Here is a 24637-nt window from a genome sequence, read left to right on the forward strand (position 1 = left end):
GTAAAACACAGTCTACATATCTGAGGGCTTACAACCTAGTCATAGTCCAACCAGAATATACATTTGTTAAAAGATAGAGAAATGGTACCAGAAATGAATAGTGAGAAATCTGGAAAAGCCTAATGAATTAGCCAAAATTTATATGAGGGTTTTGTGGGTCATATTGTGTCCCCCAGAAAGATATGTTAAAGGCTTAAACTCTGCTACCCCTGAGTGTGATCTTACTTGGAAGAGGGATCTTTGCAGATGTAATCAAATTAAGATGAGCTCATGTTTCATTAAAATGTGTCTGAATCCAACATTACTGGTGTCCTTATCAGGAGAGAACACCATGATCAGGAGAGAACACCATGATGCAGACACAGACACACAGGGGAGCACATCATGGAGGGTGGAGGCATAGATTAGAATGATGTATCTATAAGCAAAGGTGTATAAAAGATTTGCAGAACCTAAGGGACAGATTCTTCCTCAGGGGGAACCAACCCTGCAACAAAAACAACAATTTCTGTTATTTTCTAAGCCACACAATTTGTAATACTTTGCTTATGTCAGCCCAAGGAAAATAATACAAATTTTATTACCAGGAGTGGGATGCTGCTGTAATAAATGCTTAAAAAATGTGATAGTAGCTCTGGAATTGGATAATGGATAGCAGCAGGAAGAATTTTATGGTATATGTTAGAAAAACTTAGCCTTAAAGAGATCGTTGGTAGAAATACAAATGTTAAAGGCAATTTTGGTGAATGCTCAGAAATGACAAAGCTTCTTTTATCTTAGAGAGTACATATGTCAACATGAACAGAATGTTGCTAGAAATATGAACGTTAAAGGCGATTCTTGCAAGGCATCAGATGGAAACAAGGAAAGCAGAGCAAAGATGATCCTCATTATAAGATGGTAGAGACTTGGCTAATTGTCTTCTGCTGTTGGGTGTAAAATATAACTTTAGATGATGAACTTGGATATATTGCTGAGATTTCCAAGCAATGTGTGAAAGATGTGACCTTGTTTCTTCTTGCCACATACAGTAAAATGCAAAAGAAAATAAATTGACAAACTCTTAAGCAAAAAGAAACCAGAGCTTGATTATTTGAAAATTTTCAATCTCTCCATGTAACTTGCTCTGGAAACAGGGCCAATGAATTTCTGTAAAATATTTTGGTGGGCCGGGCACGGTGGCTCACACCTGTAATCCCAGCACTTTGGGAGGCCGAGACAGGTGGATCATGAGGTCAGGAGATCGAGACCATCCTGGCTAACATGGTGAAACCCTGTCTCTACTAAAAATACAAAAAATTAGTCAGGCATAGCGGCAGGTGCCTGTAGTCCCAGCTACTTGGGAGGCTGAGGCAGGAGAATGGCATGAACCCGGGAGGCGGACCTTGCAATAAGCCGAGATCGTGCCACTGCACTCCAGCCTGGGCGATAGAGCGAGATTCCATCTCAAAACAAAAATAAAACAAAACAAACAAACAAACAAAATATATATATATATATGAAGAGATTAGGCATGTGACTCACAGATCCAATTAGTCATCTCAACAAAGACACTTCCAGATTGGACTAAGAGGAGAAGAGACACACACATGGAGAGGAAAATGCCATGTGAAGACACAGAGGGCAGACAGGCATGACATCATAGAGATTGGAGTTACGCAGATGCAGATTGGAGTTATGCAGATCTAACACCAAGAATTGCTGGCAACCGCAGAAGCTAGGAGAGAGAGGATGGCCCTCCTGACACCTTGATTTTGGACCTATTGACTTCAGAACTGAAAGAATTTAAGTTTATATTGTTTCAAGCCACTTAGTTTGTGGTAATTTTTATGGCATCCCTAGGAAATGAATACAGGGAGTTTGGTGGTTATGAAGAACTCTGACTCCTTTAGAAGAATAGATTTAGACTCTAAGCCACTAGAGAAAAGTCAAAACACATGCATATTCAGGTAGTAACCAGACTATAATCTCACAGGACAAAATTTAAAAGGAACAGAATCTAGAGAAAGTTTGATACTATTCCTTCAGTATTGTGTGAGAAAAGGACAATGGTGAAAAATACATTTTACATTTCAATTTACATGTTTCACAAAATAACTCTTACCACACCATGATGCATTCTGATTCGTCTGTTCCATTCTATTTTCTTTTGTGTCATAAAAGAAGGCTGACCATGACTAACCAAGGTGATTTCAAGATCAGTCATGAAAAGCATTGTGTGTAAAAACACTCTAGCTCTAGCACTGCCTAACTTCCTTGCACTATTATCAAAGTCAAAAGTAGTCCGCATTTAGCTGGCATAAACTTGGATGCGTTCTCTTAAATTATGTTTTATTACTGATTTCTGCTCTTATTGTTATAGTCATTTAATAGAAAAAAATTGAGAACTACTCATCAAATGGTACATAAGGCACAGTGCCTTCTATGAATAATTTGACATATGTTAATCTACTATTTTCTTGTTCATTACATAAAGAGAACAAGGAGATTTTTCAATCTGTCCAAGTGTTTGTGAATAAATGTTATCATCTTGACTAAACTTTCCAATGTGGTAAAATAGATAAAGCAATAGATAATCTTGTGTTGATGTCATGTATTCTTGGTGAAGATTCAGGTCTTGCTTATTGGGAGAGACAGGGTAATAAAACCACTCAATTAGAGAGAAATTTCCTTGTCTTTAAGAATGTAGCGATTGACAGTGGCAGGACACTGGTAGTAATCCACTCATTAGCTATGGATGTTGCCATGGACACCAGTGCAGTACCGCAAATCATGAGTGGGAGAAAAAGAAAATTATGAGAACCAAGAATAGTTTCTCTACATGAAGTATATATTTCAGAGAGACAATCATTTACTTATGATTTTTTAACTGAGCTTTTCCTTTGTTTCAGACTCTGCTGATCTTCTTTAATGTCAAAGGCTCTCCTGTTAGAAATAGAAAAGAAAGAGTCTGATTTAAACAGTATTGCTGTTGTGTCCTATTTTGATCTTTTGTTTGGTCAGTCTGTAAAAACTTTTAATGCTTACAAAAGGAATTAGAAAATACATGGGCTGTCCTTGATAAACAATCTTCTGACTGATTTGCCCATTTAATACTACAAGTAACATTTGTTGTGGTAGAAATACTAATACTGCAACCTTGCTCCTAAAGAAATTATTTCAACTGGTCAGTCAGTTCTACTTTCAAATATTTCATTCATTCATTCATTCATTCACTCATGTTTACATTTTCATTTATTTCATAGATTGTGATATGAAGTGATAAAGTTCTGAAATAAATGTATATAATGTATTTTCACTATCATTGTAGTCACAAATTTGTTGTTGTATTTGGAAATACTGATGGGGATATTTTTACGTTTTTGTTCTGGACATGATGTATGTATGCAATGCAAAATAAGACCATTGAGCACTTCCTCATAAGGAAAAATCGCAACAGCGGTAGAAAAGGCCATGTATTAGTCAGGGTTCAGCCAGAGAAAAGAATCAGTAGGGGCAGGGGTGTATGTGTGTGTGTATGTGTGACAGAAAGAGAGAGAGACAGCCAGAGAGAGAGAGAAATTTGTTACAGGGGATTGGGGGAATTGACTTACACAATTGTGGGAGGTGGTTAAGCAGTCTCCGTAAGGCTGCTCTCTCCTCATATAGTCATGGATCTTGAAGTTCACAGGGTGTGCAGACGGAAAGGAAAATAGACGTAAAATGAGGAAGACCAAAGGCAGGATGGATTCCATAAGCATGAGCCAGAAACCCATCTGGAAGGATTGAGCATTATCTTCTTGCCTCTGCCCTTGATGCCAAATGTATCCTGCAGAAGCTATGCCTGTTGTCATGAAGTTAAATTGAAGCCCAGGAGTCAGAAATGCTAAAGGAGGCTCCAAGGAAAGGTGAAAACAATTTAGGTTCAGCTGCTACTTCTTGCCAACGAGGTGAGTCAGCACACTGGCAACAATGTGTGGGAACTACAAAATGGCTGATGCTCACCTTCTGCCTTGAAATCAGCACAAGGATCTCCCTTGTGGCCCACTCTTGTGCCTCAGTTTTCCTTTCTTGGAATGACTAGAAACTTCTCTGTCTTCTTTTAGACTTTTATAAATTATAATAGTAGTTATCAAGCATTGAACATTTGTCATGCAACAGGCACATATGTTGTCTCATTTAATCCTCATACATTTCCTGTGAGGTAAAGTCGATTAATAACCTAATTTTACAGATGAGGAAATCAAGGCTTAGAGAGATTAATAAACTTACATAAGGCTACGATGCTAAATTATTAGTGGAACAGAATTATGAATCTAGATGTCTAGGATCATGCTCATTCTCTGAACCTCCAAACCATGTCCATCTCTGCTATGGTCCACATGTGAATATACTCTAATTATTTCAATCTATTTGTATCTGTTTTTTCCAGCACACTAGAAATCCCTCAAGGCAATAAAACATCTTACTTTTTATTTTTCTCATGTCAATTTGTATTTCCTGTTGCTCTTTGTACTTTTTCCCTCTACAGCTATTTGGAGCACCAATATTGCTCTTTTTCTTTTTGTAACAACACAGAGAATAAAATCTCATTATAAGAAGATAACTTTAGTAAATTATAATCAAAAGCTTTTCTTGGCAGTAAGTTTTAAGCAAATAATTATAACTGTAAAAGCTTCAAGAAGTTGCAAGAAGCTTAACAGATTTTTTGTTCATTGTCTAAAAACATACATCAGTTCTTTGGAATGATAAGCCACTTTCATGGTCTTGCACATAAAACTTCAGCATCGTTCTGTTTGTAATGATTGGCCCAGGGCTATCAGAGAGATGTCTGGGAGAAGTGACTTTGCTGTGTCAGGCATCAGATAAGTGCTAACAAGAAGGTCAGTTGTCTTCCCTCCAGAATCAACAGCAAAAAGAAAATAAACCCTTTGGTGATTTCAAGAGGATAAATACATAAGATTAAAATAAAATTAAAAAGTGAGAAATATTGAATAAGCAAAGAAAAACCAAAATAAAAGCGATGGTCCCCATATTAGGAAAGAAAACTTCCTTATCAGAGAGGACTTTGCTGACAGCCTTCTGAGAGTACACTGAGCAGGTTCGTGGAATTGATGCCATTAGGGCTAATATTAAAACAGAGCATTTAGTAGCAGTAAAGAAATTTATACAAATAGAAAATCTTTTTCTATTTTAGAAAATAATTAGAAAATAATTCTATAGGAAAGCAGATAATTTTTATCATGGATTCTTTACTTCCACAGTTAAAAGTATTAAATGTCTGATTCCAAATGTGGTTTGAGCTCTTCTTAAGAGGCAAGCACTTTGCTAGCTTGTAGGCATACTGTGGTGAATAAGTTAAGACCAAGCACTTTAAAAAGATGACAGTATAATGGGGTATCTATATCTATATACCTATAACCTATATACCTATAACATATAGGTATACCTGTAACATATCTATAAAACAAGGTGATTGCATGTCAGGGGTGAGAAGCGCAATAGTAGGACAAAACACAGGAGGGAAATCTGACCAAGTATTGAGGCTTCAGAGTAGACTTTCTAGAGGATGTCACATATATGACGTGAAGCATGGGTAGAATTTATCTAAAGAAAATAATTTGAGAATAGGAAAGAACATTTAAAGCAAGAAAGTAGTGTATGAAATGAGAGGAAGTGAAAAAGAAAATAACGTGTTCTAGGAACAACAATCATTACCCACTGAAAGGGTTGGTTGCATTCTGGAAATGTATCGTGGAAGGCAAATCATGGTTGTCACAGGGAAGGTATCACTAAGAGTCCTGGATCAGGTAAAATGCATGAAGGTAATATATTTATGATTTAAAGACATCTTCTATCAAAATAATTCAATGAATTGAAATTAATTCCCCTAATGAAGCCTTCTAATCTAGTGTCACTTGAATATTCAGTCAATCTGCAAATGGTCTTGAGTTGTTATGTTTCTCATAAGCCTGTTCTCCCACATGGTTTATGTTCTGTACCCAAGTGTTAAATTTTTTAGCTAATTCTGTTAAGCTCGTAATTACTGGCAGGTCCTTGTTGGTATTTTTTTAAGTTATCACAGTATTTTACAGCCTACTTTCTCAGTCTGGTTTTGTAATTGAATAATGATGCAGAATATTTTCTGTACTCTCCCTTTGATAATTCCATATGACCTTTAAAGTGGACAAAACAATATTTTTGTGTTTTTTAGATCTCTAAATCATGAAATAAAAGCATACATTAAAAAAGATTTGTCATATGCAAGTGTGCAATAATATAATAAAATCAAGAGAGGACCACTGCCCAGTATGGTTAGAGGAAATAATAAAGTGAATGTCAAGAAATGAATATAGATAAGGCAGGGGAGACATCTCCAAAGCCTTTCCGTGTTTAATTAAAGAGCCTGGGATTTACACTGAAAGGGGTAATTAATAGCTAAGGAGAGTAAATTAGGCTAATGTCACAAAGCTTTATTGGGTGACTTTGGGGTTTGTGCATTTGAAGTGAATGAGGTCAAAGATGGAAAAACCAATGGGTTTTGAGGATAATGATAAGATCTGGAAAACAGTCAAAAGTATTTGATGTCCTCAACTAGAGAAACACCAGTGGACATCTAAAGAAGGGAATATATTTGAGAGATATTTAAATAGGACCATCAATAAAACTAGGTGATTGAAGGTGGAATGTGAGGCAGAAAGGAGAGTAAACGTTGATCCTCAAGTTACTGAGTTGGACAAGCAAGTATATCAGCAGATCGTGCACTGACAATGGAGTCACAAGAAAGGGACACAAGTGAACACGTACTATGTGCCTCAAACTATACTGCGTTCGCTTTTCACACACTATCCTATCAATTTTCCCAACCAACCAAATAAAGAAACTGAACCTCAAAGTGTGTTAAATAACACGTCCAATGTCACACAGCTAGTACATTGGGGAAAGTGAAACTCAAACCCAAAGACTCACCTATTTTTTTTTTACTAGGTTTATATATTTTGAGTTTGGGGTCCCAGTACAAGTTCAAAGTAGAGATGTCAAAGTAAGAAATAAACCTTTCCAAATTTTGAACCTGGGAGGAAGGCTACATAATTTTCAGTTGTGAAGCCAGGGGAATGAAAGCCACCATGCATGGAGAGTGAGAAGGCAAAGAGCCCAGGACAGCAATGTGTCAGACACAGAATGGAGGAAGGAACATTTGCAGAGAAGACAGAGAAAAAGCATCCCTAAAAATGAATTAAAGTAGGAGCAATGTGTCATAGAAGCCAAGAAAATTGAAATTGCTCTAAGGAAAGTGGTCTCCAGTGTCAAATGCTACATTAAGATCAAGTTAAACAATGGCATGAAGGTGGCCGTGTAATATAGCAATAGGAACATTGTTGGTAAAGTCCAGGAGTCTTTTTTAGTAGAGTGATGAGGGTGGAATTCACCATAATCATTTCTCTTTAGTGAAAGAAAGGGAAATTACAAAGCAGGGACAGCAGCCGTTCAAGAAGTTGGACAGTGAAGATAAATTAAAGGGGTTTGTTACTTCTAGGAAGGGTACTTGTAGTTATTAGAAATACTGAAATATGTTCAAATGCTGCCATAAAGGAGACACACAGCCAGGCTTACTGTGGAGGGAAAGCAAAAGGTCAGGCTTTGACTGAGAATATTTACTATGTCACAGTAACAAGGTGATGTTTTCGGCTCATTTACCAACCAAGCCATTAGGGACATGCAATATGCACATGCTGTTAACTGACATTTTGGGAAGACATGAATATTTTGCATCTCCTTTTCTCCTGGGTAGCATTGTTGCTAAAGGGAAAAGCTCAGCTATGATCTATGTTAAACATAGAGATATATAAAGGGTTCCCTATTAATATAAGCTTATGTGCTTTGAGGCTCTTGCAAAGATTGTGAAGGGACATGCTTGGCCATGGCTCATCATTATCCATCACCACAGGGAGGTGGGAGGACATGGGGAGGAATGTGGCACATGTGAGCTGCATGTTTTGTTTTTCTGTGAATCCATTGGTAATTCACAGAATCATAAAATAGAAATGTAGTAGAACTCATACCAAGTCACAACACCTGTAACACTGAAACAGTCATCTTTGGGCAGCAAAAGTATAACATTGTTATATCAGTTGGTACATTATCTACAGTCAATATTGCTTTTATAATCTTATAAACTCTTCACATTTTGAATATATTCACACTCCTTTATTTTTTTCTCCAACAACCCATAAACTGGAAGTAGACTTTTAGTTTATTTTAAAATCATACTTATTGTTCTTTTTCTGATTTTATGTTTAATGCATGCTCATCACAGAGATTTTCATGGTAAATAAACATTCAAATAAAAATTAAAATATTACTTATTTACCAAGCCATAGATAAGCATTGTTTTCCTTATGATATTATTTCTCTCTAGATTTTATTATGTGTATAAAATTTCCTTCTTAGGTAATTCTTTCATAAAATTGATCAAAATACTCCATTTTATTGTAGTTTTCAAATGACTTATCTATCTTTCTTTGTAACAGAATTATTTAAAAACATGAATTTAATAGCAGTGTATTATTAAATAATATAAATACATACAAATAAAATGTTTAGTAGTACAAAGAATATAATTTGTAGTATTATTTTAACCCTTTAACCATTGTACTATTCTTGAACATTCAAGGGCATGATAATGCAATAATCAAGATCTTTGTGCCCAGTTTATTATTTTGTTTTCTTCACTTAGAATAGATTTATAAAATGGGAATTATTAAATAGTAGGTTACATATAAAGTTAGTTTTTATCAAGATCTAACCATTTAAATTCCTGCCACTAATGTAAGAGACTGCTACTATCAATCGTCTCACTTCTACATGGAATCTTTGAGATTTGCCTCCACATTTTGTATAATATTTGCTAATTTGAATGAGAAAGATCATTGTTTTAATTTGTACTTTAACTGAAGTAAACTTTAAAAAAAGATTATCATACAATATAGTGTAGTGTTTACTATCATCGGATTTGGGGGTCAGACAGATTGGATTTAAACTTCAGCAGCTCCACCTAGTAGTGATGTTTCTTCAGCCAGTAACTTAACCACTCTAAGCCTCAATTCCTCCTGTAAGAATAACAGCACCTCCTAAAGGCCAGGAACTCTTCGAAGAGTACCTTATATATTAATTCAGGTAATCTCCACAACACCATCATGGAAAAAAAGGCATTGTTATTATCTCAATATCTATGCTGTTAACCCGTATGCTACGCTGTCCCATAGGACTGTTGGAAGACTCACATGAGAAGGTATGTGTATGTAAAGCATTTTAGATCTATACTGGAAACGGAGCATATACAATAATTAATAGCCAAAATTAATTTTTTGTGTAAATTGCCTAGGTACTTTATTTATTATTCATTGGTATATTTGAAATTGTCTTATCAAAATATATACTTTTTTTCCTCTAGTAACAAAACCACTTGTTTGTCATGTGTTGCAAACTTTCTTTTGGTCTAGAAAACTATTAAACAAAACCAATCATCTTTTTGATTCCTCTCAAAGATATGAAAGGTTAAACACAGGAGGTTTAGAGTACAGTAAGGACACAGAAATTTTTTTAAATTTAATTATTAATTTTTGTGGGTACATAGTATATGTATGGATAGAATACATAAAATGTTTTGATACAGGCATGCAATGCATAATAATAACATCATGGAAAATGGGTTATCTATCCCTTCAAGGATTTATCTTTTGTGTTGCAGACAATCCAAGTATACTCGTTTAGTTATTTTTAAATGTACAACTCAGTTATTATTGACTGTAGTCACCCTGCTGTGCTATCAAATAGTAGGTCTTATTCATTCTTTCTATTTTTTTTGTACCCATTAACTGTTCCTGTTTTCCTTCCAACCTATCACTACCCTTTCCAGCCTATGGCAAACATTTTTCTAATCTCTATGTCTGTGAGTTCAATTGTTTGGATTTTTAAATCCCACAAATAAGTGAGAACATGCGATATTTGTCTTTCTGTGCCTGGCTTATTTCACTTAACAAAATGATCTCCAGTTCCATCCATGTTGTTACAAATGACAGGATCTCATTTTTTTATGTTTGAATAGTACTTCATTGTGCATATGTACCATATTTTCTTTATCTATTCATCTGTTGATGGACACTCAGGTTGCTTCCAAATCTTGGTGATTGTGAACACTGCTGCAAAAAACATAGAAGTGCAGATATTTCTTTGATATGCTGATTTCCTTTCTCTTGGGTATATACCCAGCAGTGGGATTGCTGGATCATCTGGTAGCTCCATTTTAAGATTTTTGAGTACTCTCCAAACTGTTCTCCACAGTAATTGTATTAACTTACTTTTCCACCAACAGTGTATGAGCATTCCCTTTCATCCACATTATCGCCAGCATTTGTTATTGCTTATGTTTTGGATATAAGCCATTTTAACTAGGGTAAGATGATATCTCATTGCAATTTTAATTTGCATTTCTCTGATGAGCAATGATGTTGAGCACCTTTTCATATGCCTGTTTGCCATTGTATGTCTTCTTTAAAGAAATGTCTATTCAGATCTTTTGCCCATTTTTCAATTGGATTATTCAATTTCTTTTCTCTAAGTTGTTGGAGCTCCTGGTTATTAATCCCTTGTCAGACGGGTTGTTTGCAAATATTCTCTCCCATTCTGTGGGTTGTCTCTTCACTTTGTTGATTGTTTCCTTTGCTGTGCAGAACCTTTTTAATTTGATGTGATCCCATTTGTCCATTTTTGCTTTGGTTGCCTATGCTTGTAGAGTATTACTCAGGACATTTTTGCCCAGACCAATGTCCTGGAGAGTTTCCCTAATGTTTTCCTGTAGTAGTTTCATAGTCTGAGGTCTTACATTTAAATATTTAATCCATTTTGATTTGGTTTTGGTATACAGTGAGAGATAGAGGGCCAGTTTCATAATTCTGCATATGAATATCCAGCTTTCCCAGCACCATTTATGGAAGAGACTCTCTTTTCCTACAGTGTATGTTCTTGGCACCTTTGTCAAAAATGGGCTCACTGTAGGTATATGAATTTGTTTCTGGGTTCTTCTTTTAGTTCCATTGGTCAATATGTCTGTTTTTATGCCAGTACCATGCTGTTTTGATTACTATAGCTCAATAGTATAATTTGAAGTCAGGTAATACGATTCCTACAGTTTTGTTCTTTTTACTTAGGATAGCTTTGATTATTCTGGGTCTTTTGTGGTTTCATATAAATTTTAGGACTTTTTTTCTTTTTTGTGAAGAATGTCACTGGTATTTTGATAGGGATTTCATTGAATCTGTAGACTGCTTTGGATAGTATGAACTTTTTTTTTTTTTTTTTTTTTTTTTTGAGATGGAGTCTCGCTCTGTTGCCCAGGCTGGAGTGCAGTGGTGCAATCTCGGCTCACTGCAAGCTCTGCCTCCTGGGTTCATGCTATTCTCCTGCCTCAGCCTCCAAGTAGCTGGAACTACAAGTGCCCACCACCATGCCCAGCTTATTTTTTTGTATTTTTAGTAGAGACCGGGTTTCACCATGTTAGCCAGGATGGTCTCGATCTCCTGACCTCGTGATCTGCCTACCTCAGCCTCCCAAAGTGCTGGGATTACAGGCGTGAGCCACTGCGCCCAGCCTAGTATGGATGTTTTAACAATATTGATTCTTTCAATTCATGAACATAGAACATCTTTCCATTTTTTGGTGTCCTCTTCAATTTCTTTCATCAGTGTTTCATAGTTTTTATTACAGAGAACTTTCACTTCTTTGGTTAAGTAAATTTCTAGTATTTAATTTTATTTGTGGCTATTGTAAATGAGACTGCTTTTAAATTTCTTTTTCAGATTGTTCATTGTTGGCATATAGAAATGCTACTAAGTGTTCTATGTTGATTTTGTACCCTGAAACTTTACTGAATTTGTTTATCAGTTCTAATAGATTTTTTGGTGGAGTCTTTAGGTTTTTCCAAATATAAGATCATATAATCTGCAAACAAGAATAATTTGACTTATCCCATTCCAGTCTGGATGCTTTTTATTTTTGTCTGTTATGATTGCTCTTGCTAGGACTTCAAGTACTATGTTGAATAACAGTGGTGAAACTTGGCACCCTTGTCACTTCAAAGATCTTAAAGGAAAGGCTTTCAGTTTTTCCCCATTCAGTATGATACTAAATAGTATGATACTAGCAGTGAATCTGTCATATATGGTTTTTATTGTGTTGAGGTATGCTTTTTCTATACTTAGTTTTTTGAGCTTTTTTTTATTATGAAGGAATGTTGAATTTTATCAAACGCTTTTTCAGCATCCGTTGAAATGATCATATGGCTTTTGTCCTTCATTCTGTTGATGTGATTTATCACACTGATTGATTTGCATATGTTAAACTACTCTTGCATCCTGGGGATGAATCACACTTGGTCATGACTGTTGGGGAAACCAGCCCCACACTACCCAGCGGGTACCCCGAGTCCGGTGGAGATAAAGGAGTTAGAAAGAGACAGAATAAGCATTTAAAAGGCGGGTCGAGGGGATCGGAGAGTGGGAGGCTTGCTCACGGCCCAGAGCTCTCAAGCTCCACCCAATTTATTGGTTTACAAGCTCTTTCTTCTTAGGGCAGATGGAAGGGGGAGGGAGGGATGAGGAAAAGGATCAATCAGTGAAGGAAAACTCGTGAGTCATTCAATAAGATGTATAGCAGTGGCAGTTTCTGTGAATTTCCTTGAGCAAAGGCATGTGTCTAAACGACTTAAGATCTTTAACTTATCAGGACTGAAACGGGTGGGAGCGGGTTCCAGGAGGAGCCCAGACGTTTGATTATACTCCACTGCTTCAAAGGTAGTGTTATCTCCGTGAGCAACCTGTGGAATGCTGCTGAGCTGTTATGTTCTCGAGGCATAAAGACGTGAAGGCAATAAGGAGACTTTTCTCCTCAGAGGCCGCCCATGACTTCCCATGGGTGTCTCACACAGGGGAGACCAACTCAACTGGCACCCCAGAAACTCTCTTTCCCATCATGACGAATGATCTTTTTAATATGTTGTTTAATTCAGTTTGCCAGTATTTTTTTGAGGATTTTCGCATAAATATTCATCAGAAATATTGGCTTATAGTTTTCTTTATTTGAATTGTCTTTGTCTGATTTTTGTATCGGGTAATACTTACCTCACAGATTGAGTTTGGAAGTATTCCTTTCCCCTGTGTTTTTCAGAATAGTTTGAGTAGGATTGACATTAGTTCTTCTTTAAATGTTTGGTAGAATTCAGCAGTAAAGCCATTGGGTCCTGAGCTTTTCTTTACAAGGAGACTTTTGATCATGGCTTTGATCTTGTTACATATGATTGATCTGTTCAAGTTTTGGTTTTCTTTCTGATTCAATTGTGGTAGTTTCTATGTGTCTAGGAACTGCCCATTTCTTCTAAATTTTTTCTATTAATTGGCATATAGTTGGTTACAGTAGTCACTAATGATGTTTTGAATTTCTGTGGTATCAGTTGTAATGCTTCTCTTTTCATCTGTGATTTTATTTATTTGGTTCTTCTTTCTTTTTTGCTAAGTTAGTCTGGCTAAAGGTTTATCACTATTTTTTAACTTTTCAAAAAAGCCAACTTTTTGTTTCCTTAATCTTTTGTATTGTTTTCTTCATTTTATTTGTTTCTGCTCTGATTTTTATTTTATTTTCTTCTATACTGATTTTTATTTTATTTTCTTCCAGTAATTTTTTTGGTTTGTTTTGCTCTTGGTTTTCTCATTCTTTAGGATGCATCACTAGATTGTTTATTTGAAATTTTTCTTCTTTATTAATGTAGGCATTTATAGCTATAAACTTCCTTTTTAGTACTGCTTTTGCTGTCTCCCACAGGTTTTTGTATGTTGTGTTTCCATTATCATGTGTTTTGAGAAATTTTTCAATTTTATTCTTAATTTCCTTATTGACCTACTGGTTATTCAGGAGCATATTGTTTAATTTCCACGTGTTTGCAAAGTTTCCAAAATTCCTCTCGTTACTGATTTCTAGTTTTATTCTATTGTGGTCAGAGAAGATGCCGGAAATTATGTCAATTTTTTGAATGTTTTAAGGATTGTTTTATGACCTAACATATGGTTTATCCTTGAGAATAATCCATGTGTTGAGGATGAGAATCTGTATTTTGAAGCTGTTGGATGAAATGTTCTGTAAATATCTATTAGATTCATTTGGTCCACAGTGCAGATTAAGTCTGATGTTTCTTGCTGATTTTCTGTCTGGAAGATCTGTCCAATGCTGATGTGGGGTGTTGAAGTCTTCAGCTATTATTGTAATGGGGCCTTTCTCTTAAGCTCTAATAGTATTTTCTTTATATAGCTGTGTGATCTAATTTTGGGGTTCATATATATTTAAGATTGTTATATCCTCTTGGTGAATTGACCCCTTTATCATTATATAGTGACATTCTTTGTTTCTTCTCATAGAATTGTCTTTAAATCTATTTTGTCTGATATAAGTATAGCTACTCCTGCTCTTTGTTGATTTCCAATGGCATGGAATATTTTTTCTATCCCTTTATTTTCAGTTTATGTGTATCTTTATAGGTGAAGTATGTTTCTTATAGGCAACATATTATGGGTCTCTTTTTCTTATCCATTCAGCCACCCCATGTCTTTTGATTGGAGAGTTTAGACTATTTATATTCAATGTTATTATTGATAAGTAAAAACTTTTCTGCCATTTTGTTATTTGTTTACTGGTTGTTTTGTGATCATCTCTTCCTTCTTTGTTTTCTTCCTGTTTTTCCTTGGTGAAAGTGATTATCTCTGGTAATAAGACTTAGTTTCTTGATTTTTATTTTTTATGTTTCTGTTGTATGTTTTTTGGTTTCAGGTTACCATGACACACGCAAATACTATCATAAACCATTATTTTAAGCTTATAATCACTTAACACTGTTTGCATAAACAACTAAGAAAAAAGAAAATGAATAAAAACTCTGTGCCTAAACTTCATCACCCTGCTTTTAAACTTTATGTTATTTCTATTTATATCTTATTTTTCTGTCTATCTTGAAAAGTTATTGTAGTCATGTTTTTTTTTATTTCTTCATCATTTATTCTTTGTACTTAGGATAAGAGTAGCTTACACATCACAGTTACAGTGTAATCATATTCTGTGCTTTTCTGTGTATTTGCTATTACCAGTGAGTTTTGTACCTTCAGGTGATTACTGATTTATTACTCAGTAACATTCTTTTCCTGTTTTTTTTCTTTTTGTTGAGATGGCGTCTCACTGTTATCACCCAGGCTGGAGTAAAGTGGCATGATTTCGACTCACTGCAACCTCTGCCTCCCGAGTTCAAGTAATTCTCATGTTTCAGCATCCTGAGAAGCTGGGATTACAGGCATCCACCACCACATCTGGCTAATTTTTGTAATTTTTAGTACAGACAAGATTTCACCATGTTGGCCAGGCTGGTCTCGAACTCCCAACATCAAATGATCTGCTGGCCTAAGACTACCAAAGTGCTAGGGTTACAGGTGTGAGCCACCATGCCCAGCCAGTAACATCCTTTTCTTCCTTATTGAAGCACTCCCTTTAGCATTTCTTGGAAGATGGGTGTAGTGTTGATGCAATACCTCAGCTTTTGTTTATCTCCTAAAATCTTTATTTCTCCTTCCTGTTTGTAGTATATTTTCACTCAGCTATACTATTCTAGGTTAAAAGTTTTCTTTTTTTTCCTCCAGCACTTTAAATATGCCATACCACTCTCTCCTGGCCTATTAGGTTCTCACTGAAAAGTTCATTAGGGTTCCATTGTATGTTATTTGTTTTTTTCTTCTTGCTGCTTTTAAGATCCTATCTTTACCCTTGATCTTTGGTTGGTTGATTATTAAATGCCTTGAGGTAGTAGTCTTCTTTGTGTTAAATTCACCTGGTATTCTATAAGTTTCTTGGATTTGGATATTGATATCTTTCTCTAGGTTTGGGAAGTTCTCTCTCATTATTTTTTTGATTAAACTTCCCAGCCCTACCTATTTCTCCACTTCCTCTTTAAGTCCAATAACTCTTAGATTTGCCTTTTTGAGGCTATTTTCTAGATTCTATAGTGTGCTTCATTGTTTTTTATTCTTTTTTCTTTGTCTCCTTTGATTGTATATTTTCAAACAGCCTGCCTTCAAGCTCACAAATTCTTTTGCTTGATCAATTCTGCAATTAAAAGACGCTAATGCATTCTTCAGTATGCCAAATGCATTTTCAGCTCCATAATTTCTGCTTGATTCTTTTAAATTATTTTAATCTTTGTTAAATTTATCTGATAGAATTCTGAATTCCTTCTCTGTGTTACCTTGAATTTCTTTGTGTTTCTTCAACATAGCTATTTTGAATTATCTATCTGAAAGGTCACATATCTCTGTTTCTCCAGGATTGGTACCTGGTGCCTTATTTAGTTCCTTTGGTGAGATGATTTTTCCCTGGAATATCTTGATAGTTGTAGATGTTCTTCTATGTCTGGGCATTTAAGAATTAGGTATTTATTTTAGTTGTCACTGTCTGGGTTTGTTTGTACCTATCCTTCTTAAGAAGGCTTTCCATGTATTTGAAAGGATTTGGGTGCTGTGATTTAAGTTGTATCTACTTTAGAGAGCACCCTGTATTATGTCATTCTCACACTGCTAATAAAGACATACCCAAGGCTGGGTAATTTATAAAGGAAAAAGGTTTAATGTATTCATAGTTCTGCATGGCTTGTGAGGCTTCACAATTATGATGAAAGGCAAAGAAGAAGCAAAGGCATGTCTTACATGGTGGAAGGCAAGAAAGCATGTGCAGGGAAGCTTGTCTTTGTAAAACCATCTGATCTTGTGAGATTTATTCAGTATCATGAGAACAGCAAGGGAAAGATGTGATGCCATGATTCAATTGCCTCCCACCAGGTACCTCTCATGACACATGGGAATTGTGGGAACTGCAATTGAAGATGAGATTTGGGTGGGGACACAGCCAAACCATATCATTCTGCCCTTTGCCCCTCCCAAATCTCATGTCCTAACATTTCAAAACCAATCAAGCCTTGCCAACAGTCCCCCAAAGTCTTAACTCATTTCAGCATTAACTCAAAAGTCCACAGTCCAAAGTCTCATCTGAGACAAGGCAATTCCCTTTTGCCTATGAGCCTGTAAAATCAAAAGCAAGTTAGTTAATCCTAGATACAATGGGGATACAGGCATTGGGTAAATGCATCCATTCCAATTGGGAGAAATTGGCCAAAACAAAGGAGCTACAGGATCCATGGAAGTTCAAAAATCCAATATGGTAGTCATTAAATCTTAAAGTTTCAAAATGATCTCTTTTGACTTCATGTCTCACATCCAAGTCATACTGATGAAAAAGGCCATCTCCCACAGCCTTGAGCAGCTCAACCCCTGTGGCTTAGCAGGACACAGCACACTTTCTGACTGCTTTCCCGGCTGACATTGAGTGTCTGCAGTTTTTCCAGGTGCACGGTGCAAGCTGTCAGTGGGTCTACCATTCTGGGGTCTGGAGGATGGTGGCCCTATTTTCACAGCTCCACTAGGCAGTGCCCCAGTGGGGACTCTGTGTGGGGGCTTGCACCCCACAATTCCCTTCCACACTGCCCTAGCAGAGGTTCTTCATGAGAGCCCCGCCACTGCAAGAAACTTCTGCTTGGACATCCAGGCATTTCCATACATCCTCTGAAATCTAGATGGAGGTTTCTAAGCCTCAATTCTTGACTTTTGTACACCTGCAGGCTCAACACCACATGGAAGCTTGGGGTTTGTACTCTCTGAAGCAATGGGTTGAGCTGCACCTTGGTGTCTTTTAGCCTTGGCTGGAACTGAAGCAGCTTGGCACAAGGGATCATGTCCCAAGGCTGCACAGAGAAGTGGGGCCCTGGGCCAGACCCAGAAAACCATTTTTTCCTCCTAGGCCTCTGGGCCTGTGATGGAAGGGGCTGCCTGGAAGGTCTCTGACATGCCCTGGAGACATTTTCCCATTGTGTTGGTGATTAACATTAGGCTCCTCATTACGTGTGTAAATTTCTTCAACTGGCTTGAATTTCTTCCCAGAAAATGGGTTTTTCTTTTCTATCAAATTGTCAGGCTGCAAATTTTCTGCACTTTTATCTTCTGCTTCCTCTTGAATGCTTTGCTTCTTAGAATCGTTTCTGCCAGATACCCTAAATCATCTCTCTCAAGTTCAATGTTCCACAGTTCTCCAGGGCAGGGGCAAAATGCTGCCAGTCTCTTTGCATAGCAAGTGTGATCTTTACTCCAGTTCCCAACAAGTTCCTCATTTCCATCTGAGACCACCTTAGCCTGTACCTTATTATCCATATCACTATCAGCATTTTGGTCAAAGCCATTCAACAAGTCTCAAGGAAGTTCCAAACTTTTCCACATCATCCTGTCTTCTGAGTCCTCCAAGTCTCTATGAAGTTCCAAAATTTCCACATTTTCCTATCTTCTTCTGAGCCCTCCAAACTGTTCCAACCTCTGCCTGTTACCCAGTTCCAAAGTTGCTTCTACATTTTTGGATATCTTTACAGCAGCGCTGCACTACCCAGTACCAATTTACTGTATTAGTCTGTTCTCATGCTGCTAATAAAGACATACCCAAGACTGGGTAATTTGTAAAGGAAAGAGATTTAATGGGTTCACAGTTCCACATGGCTGGGGAGGTATCACAATTGTGGTGGAAGGCAAGGAGAAGCAAAGGCACATCTTACAGGGTGGAAGGCAAGAGAGCATATGCAGGGGAACTCCCCTTTATAAAACCCTCAGATCTCATGAGACTTATTCACTATCATGAGAACAGCAAAAGACCCACTCCCACGATTGAATGACCTCCCACGGGCTCCCTCCCTGACACGTGGGAAATATGGGAGCTACAGTTCAAAATGAGATTTGGATGGGGACACAGACAAGCCATATCACACCTTAAGCCCAGTAACACTGTGATTCTCGCAGACTTGCACAGCTACCACCTTGATGGTCCTGGACAACATCTGGGAGAATTGTCTGGATTACCAGCAGAGACTCTTGTTCTCCTCCTTTACTTTCTTCCAAAAAAATGGAGTCTTTCTGTTTTGAGTGTCCTGAAGCTGGGGTGGAATGACAGTAACACCCCTGTTGCCACCATCACTGTGACTGCTGGGTCAAACCTGAATCTAGCACAGCATTGAGTATTGCCCAAGGCCTGCTGTCACCACTCCCTGGCTACTGCCTGTTTTCAGTCAAAGGCCTGAGGCTCTACAATCAGCAGTTGGCAAAGCCTGCCAGGCCTGTGTCCTTCCCTTTAGGGCACTTCCCAGATGTGTCTAGATGTGGTGTCTGGGAGCCAGGGAGTAGAGCCAAAAACCTTAGAAGTCTACTTGGTGTTCTATTGTACTGAGGTTGAGCTGGCACTAAAAACCACAAGACACAATCCTCCCCACTCTTCCCTCCCCTTTCCAAAGGCAGAGGAGACTCACCCTGTGGCCACTGCCATTACAGGTCCACAAGAAGTACTGCCAGACTGTAGCCAATGTTCCCTTAAGGCCCAACAGCTCTTCAGTCAGCTGGTGGTAAATTTTGCCTGGCCTGAAACCCACCCTTCATGGCAGTAGGCTCCTCTCTGGCCCAGAGCTGGTCCTGAAGTGCCATCCAAGAGCCAAGTTCAGAAATCAGGAATTCCAAGGGCCTGATTGGTGCTCTACCCACCTGTGGCTGAGCTGGTACCTAAGGTGCAGGACAAAGTTCCCTTTACTTTTCCCTCTGTTTTTCTCTAGCAGGAGTCTAGCCCTGTGGCACCACATCTGGGAATGTGCTGAGTCTCATGTGAAGCCAAGAAGTCTCAGAGCCTCATCCAAGGCCCTAGGGTAGTACCTGTGTATCACTGCTGGTTATTCAAGGCCCAAGGGCTCTTCAGATAGCAGGTAATGAGTCCTCCCAGGACTGGGTCATTCCCTTCAAGGCATCAGGTCCCCTTCTGGCCCAGGGCATGCCTATAAATGTCATCCTGGAGTTAAGAGGGCCTTCAACTCTGACCAGTGCCTTATCCTGCTGTGGCTGAGCTAATATCCAAGATACAAGACAAAGTCCTCCCCACTCTTTACTCTGCTCTCAAGCAGAAGGAAAGGGTCTCTTTTAGAGCTACGAGCTGTGCAGCCTGGGATTAGGGGAGGGGTGATGTCAGCACCCCGTTACCTGCCCCAACTGGTGTTTTTGTGGGTTGTGTGTCCCCCAGTCTGCTGTCTCTGTGCCCAGTTCAGCACTAGGACTCATGTAAAAGTTGCAGTCCTTGTGGCCTAGACTGCCTTTCAAGTTTATTACAGCCCCAGGGCACAAAGATAAATATGATATAGTCTCTGTCTTCAAGTTTAGTAAATGGAAAATAAACATACCTAATATAGTGTGAAACGTACAAAAATTGAAGTTTAAAATTAATTATGTTAAGCAGCAAGATGAATGGTTATTTGTATTTTATAAAAGGGCAGAATTAGAAAAGAATTAACAGGCTTTGTAGAAATGATGAAATTGGTCATCAAGGACAAATAAGAGTTTGTTAGCTGAACAAAGGCTAGTAGGTGACAGTGTCAAGGTTAAGAGAAGAAGGTGAGAAACAGCATGATGTGAGTATTAGTTATCCATTGCTGTGTGGCGATATCATCATAAATGTGACAGCCTAAAGTATCACTCATTTATTAGCTCACTGTTTGGTGGGACAGGAGTCTAGGAGTGGTTTAGCTGAGTTCCCTGCTTCAGGGTCTCAATCTTGCAATCCAGATGTCAGCATGAACTGCTTTCTTATCAGAAGCTTGCATGAGAGAAAGATCCACTTCCAAGCTCACTCAGGTTGTTGGAAGAATTCACTCACTTGGTGCTATAGACTTGAAGACACTAGTTGTGTCTGGCTGTTGGTTGGAAGCTGCCTGCATTTCCTAGAGGTCTCAACAGTTTTTTGAGATATGGGCTCCCCAAACATGCCTGCTTACTTTATTGAGCCAGCAAAAAAGGTAGTCTTTTTGCAAGACATAATGTAACATAATTCCATAAACTTAATCACATGTATGTAATCACATGCACTTAAAGGATATCTGTATTATGGCTGCAATACCATAATATATACATAAGATGAAACATTTAGATATAGATAGATTGATAATATATGTATGAGTCAAATCATAAAAAGCCCAAGGAACTTGGACTTTATATTTAAGTGATAAGGAACTAGTGAAAGATTTGAAGAAGAATATTAATATATATTAATATAGTAATATATTAATATGTTCACATTTGTGTTTTAAATAGCTCAGTTGAGCAGGCACTGGAAAGATGAATTTGAAAACAGTGAGATTAGTTGGAAAATGATTTAAGTATCAACTGTAAAGAATGAGTCACCTCACTTAACAGTATTAAGTTCACTGAAAATAAATAGAAATTTCCTACATATGGAACAGCAGGTAGAAACTGGAGCTTTACCCTCTGTAACCTGATTGTTTCCTTGGAGATATTCTCCCAGTTCCCTTGCCAGCACTCTTGTCCTAGGTAGGGTATGGTGCTCTTGAAAAATATCTGTGAAGTAAAAATTCTACTAGTTTCCTGCCTTACAGGAGAAAAGGCTGGAATATTTAAACATTTCCTTTAGAAATACAGGGCATAACCTGTGGAGAGTGAAGGAGATTAGAAGGGCAGGCTAAACATTTAAAGGAGATGAGGAAATCAACACTAAAAGCAGGTTAGAAAAAGAAAGCCCAGTGAAAGAGATCAAGGAGAATGAACACTTGACTTGAACAGAGAGATATTGGATAGCAGTATAAGGAAGTTTGTTTAGGCAGTCTGACTGAAGTACTGAGCATTTCAATTTATGAAAATTTATTCAATGAAGTTAGGGCACATTTTAGATTTTCAATAAAGGAATGTTGTGCTAAAAGGTTGTAGGAAGAGTAGCTAACCAAAAATGTCAGATGGATTACACGGAGGGAAGTCTATAGTTTGAAAGACTAAACATGTAGATTATTCATGTGTTTTATACCAAAGATGGTAAAGGTAGTGATAATGGAAATAAAGAGAGAGTAAATTTAAAATCCCTAGAAAAAATAAACATTAGTACATACTGACAAAATGGAAGTAGAGGATTTAATAATAGAAAACATTAAAGATGAAGTCTAAGTTGAACTCTATTTTACGGTTCTGTTAGTCCACACAAATAGTCGGGAGTCTGAAACAATTTGTGGAACATAAATGCAACACAGAGTCAAAATTAGAGCATGAGTAAGGTCAGGAACCCCAACAATTGCTTTTTTTTTTTTTTTTTTTTGCTTTCTGCCCAAGTGTCTTCTTCAAACACTAGGCTAAAAATTTACTGGTTTTGCAACTAGCAAAGGTTAAAAGGTACCTCTCCAGACTCCTAATTGCTATTCAAACAAGTTTCCTTAAATCTTCTTAAATTTAAAATGGTTTAAAAATATAATTAGAGTGTTTACATTTCCAGTAAAGGAAGACTGGCTTCCTGCTGATGAGTTCTCTAACTGAGATCAACTATAATTGCTGGAAATAAAAAACATAAGTGCTATAATCAAAGAACTAACAAGACAGCAAGGACTTGAAGTGTAAAGATCTCAGAGAGAAAGGAGAAACATATTCTCACATAGGTTTTAACCAGGCCATTTGCCAAATCAGAAGGAGAGGCTAAAAATCTGAGCACTGATTCCAAAGTTGTAATATCCTGATATATAAAAGTTGAAGTGTAGGGTCCATCAGTGAAAAGGGGTTTTTTCACTAGAACCTTGGAAGAGCTGGCTACACTCCAGAAATAGAAGTGAACCACAGATAAATCTCCTTTCTAGAAACCCTGAAGCATGCCATGAAGTTAAACTCAATCTCTGATTGTATGAAGGTGATCTTCCCTTGCATAACTGCTTGCAAGAAGTAAAGACAAAATCTCTCCAGAAGAAGATAACATCAGCCAGAGCCTAAAATTATCAGTATCCAAGATAATTATCTGTAAAATTTTTCATACACGATGTCCAGCATGCAATCAAACATAACCAGGAATATCAAGAAATAAGACCACATGACCAAAAAACAAAGGGACATAGAGGGAGAAACAGGGACAGCAAGAGACTGAACCACAGGAAATTCAGACATTGGGCTTATCTGAAACAGAATGCGATGTGGTTTGGATCTGTGTCCCCACCAAATCTCATCTTGAATTGTAATCCCCAGTGGTGGAAGTGGGGCCTGGTAAGAGGTAATTTGATCATGGGGGTGAATTTCTCATGAATAGTTTAGCACCATTGCTCTTGGTACTGTCCTCACAATAGTGAGTGAGTTCTTGTGAGATCGTGTTGTTTAAAAGTGTGTGGCACTTCCCCCCTCACTCTCTCTTGCTCCTGCTCTGGCCATGTGATGTGCCAGCTCCCCCTTTGCCTTCCACCATGATTGTTTCCTGAGGCCTCCCCAGAAGTGGGGCAGATGCCAGGACCATGCTTCCTGTACAGCCTGAATAACCATGAGCCAATTAAACCTCTTTTCTTTATAAATTACCTAGTCTTAGGTATTTCTTTATAGCAATGTGAAAATGAACTAAAACAGACTGTAACATAAGTTTCATAAGTGTGATTAATATATTCAGAAATTGGATGACAGGATAGAGAATATAGCAGAGAACAAAACACTATAAAATGGATTAAATGGAAGTTTTATATCTCCCCTTAAAAATTCAAGAATGTGTTCAGTAGCATATTAGATATAGTTGAAGAAAGAATTAGCAGAATGGAAAATAGGCCAGAATAACATGCCCATTCATATTTATAAAGATGAAAGAACAAAAAAATTTAAAAAGTATTTGAGAACTATGTGACAGTGAAAAGTTCTAACACACATGTAGCTAGATTTTATAAAAGAGAGGACAGAAGGAATAGAGCAAAAATAGTTTTAAACAGACAGTGGGTGAAACTGATAAATGAGAAACTGATGAAAGATATCAATTTCATATTTAAGAGTGAAAATGTATCCCAAACATGCTAAAAATGAATAAAATGCTAAGGTACATCATAATAACACTGTTAAAAATCAAAGACAAAGAAAAATAATAAAAGCAACAAGAGAGGAAAAGCATCTTTCCCTTCAAAGGAGCAAAAATAGGCTGATTTATTAACTAAAAAGAGAAAGAGAGACCAGAGAACAATTGAATTACATCCTCAAATGCTGAAAGAAAAAGAAGCCAACCTAAAATCTAAATTTAACCCAGTAAAACCACCAATAAAAATGGAGAAAATTAAAGATATTTTAGGCATGGGAATACTGAAAGATTTGTCACCAGCCAACCCATGTTAATGAAAATAATATAATAATTATTTTTAAGGCAGAGAGAAAATAACCCCAGATGGAAGTATGGTGATATAGGAAGGAACAAATAGCAATGGATAGAGTAAATATGTGGCTAAATAGAAATGAATACTAACTATATTTAGAAATATCACCCCTTACAGTCTTCAAACTCCTACTTCAATACCTCCTTCATAAATCTCTGCTCAAATAAGGTGTTCAAACTGCATGCAAAAGGCAAAAGAGCAAAGCTTTTAGAAGAATATAGGAGAGTATCTTAAAAAACTTAGAATAGCCAAAGTTTTCTTCAACAAAAGACAAAAATCACTGACTGTAAC

This window comes from Homo sapiens, chromosome 18 (assembly GCF_000001405.40).
Source record: "Homo sapiens chromosome 18, GRCh38.p14 Primary Assembly".
Classification (NCBI taxonomy): Eukaryota; Metazoa; Chordata; class Mammalia; order Primates; family Hominidae; genus Homo; species Homo sapiens.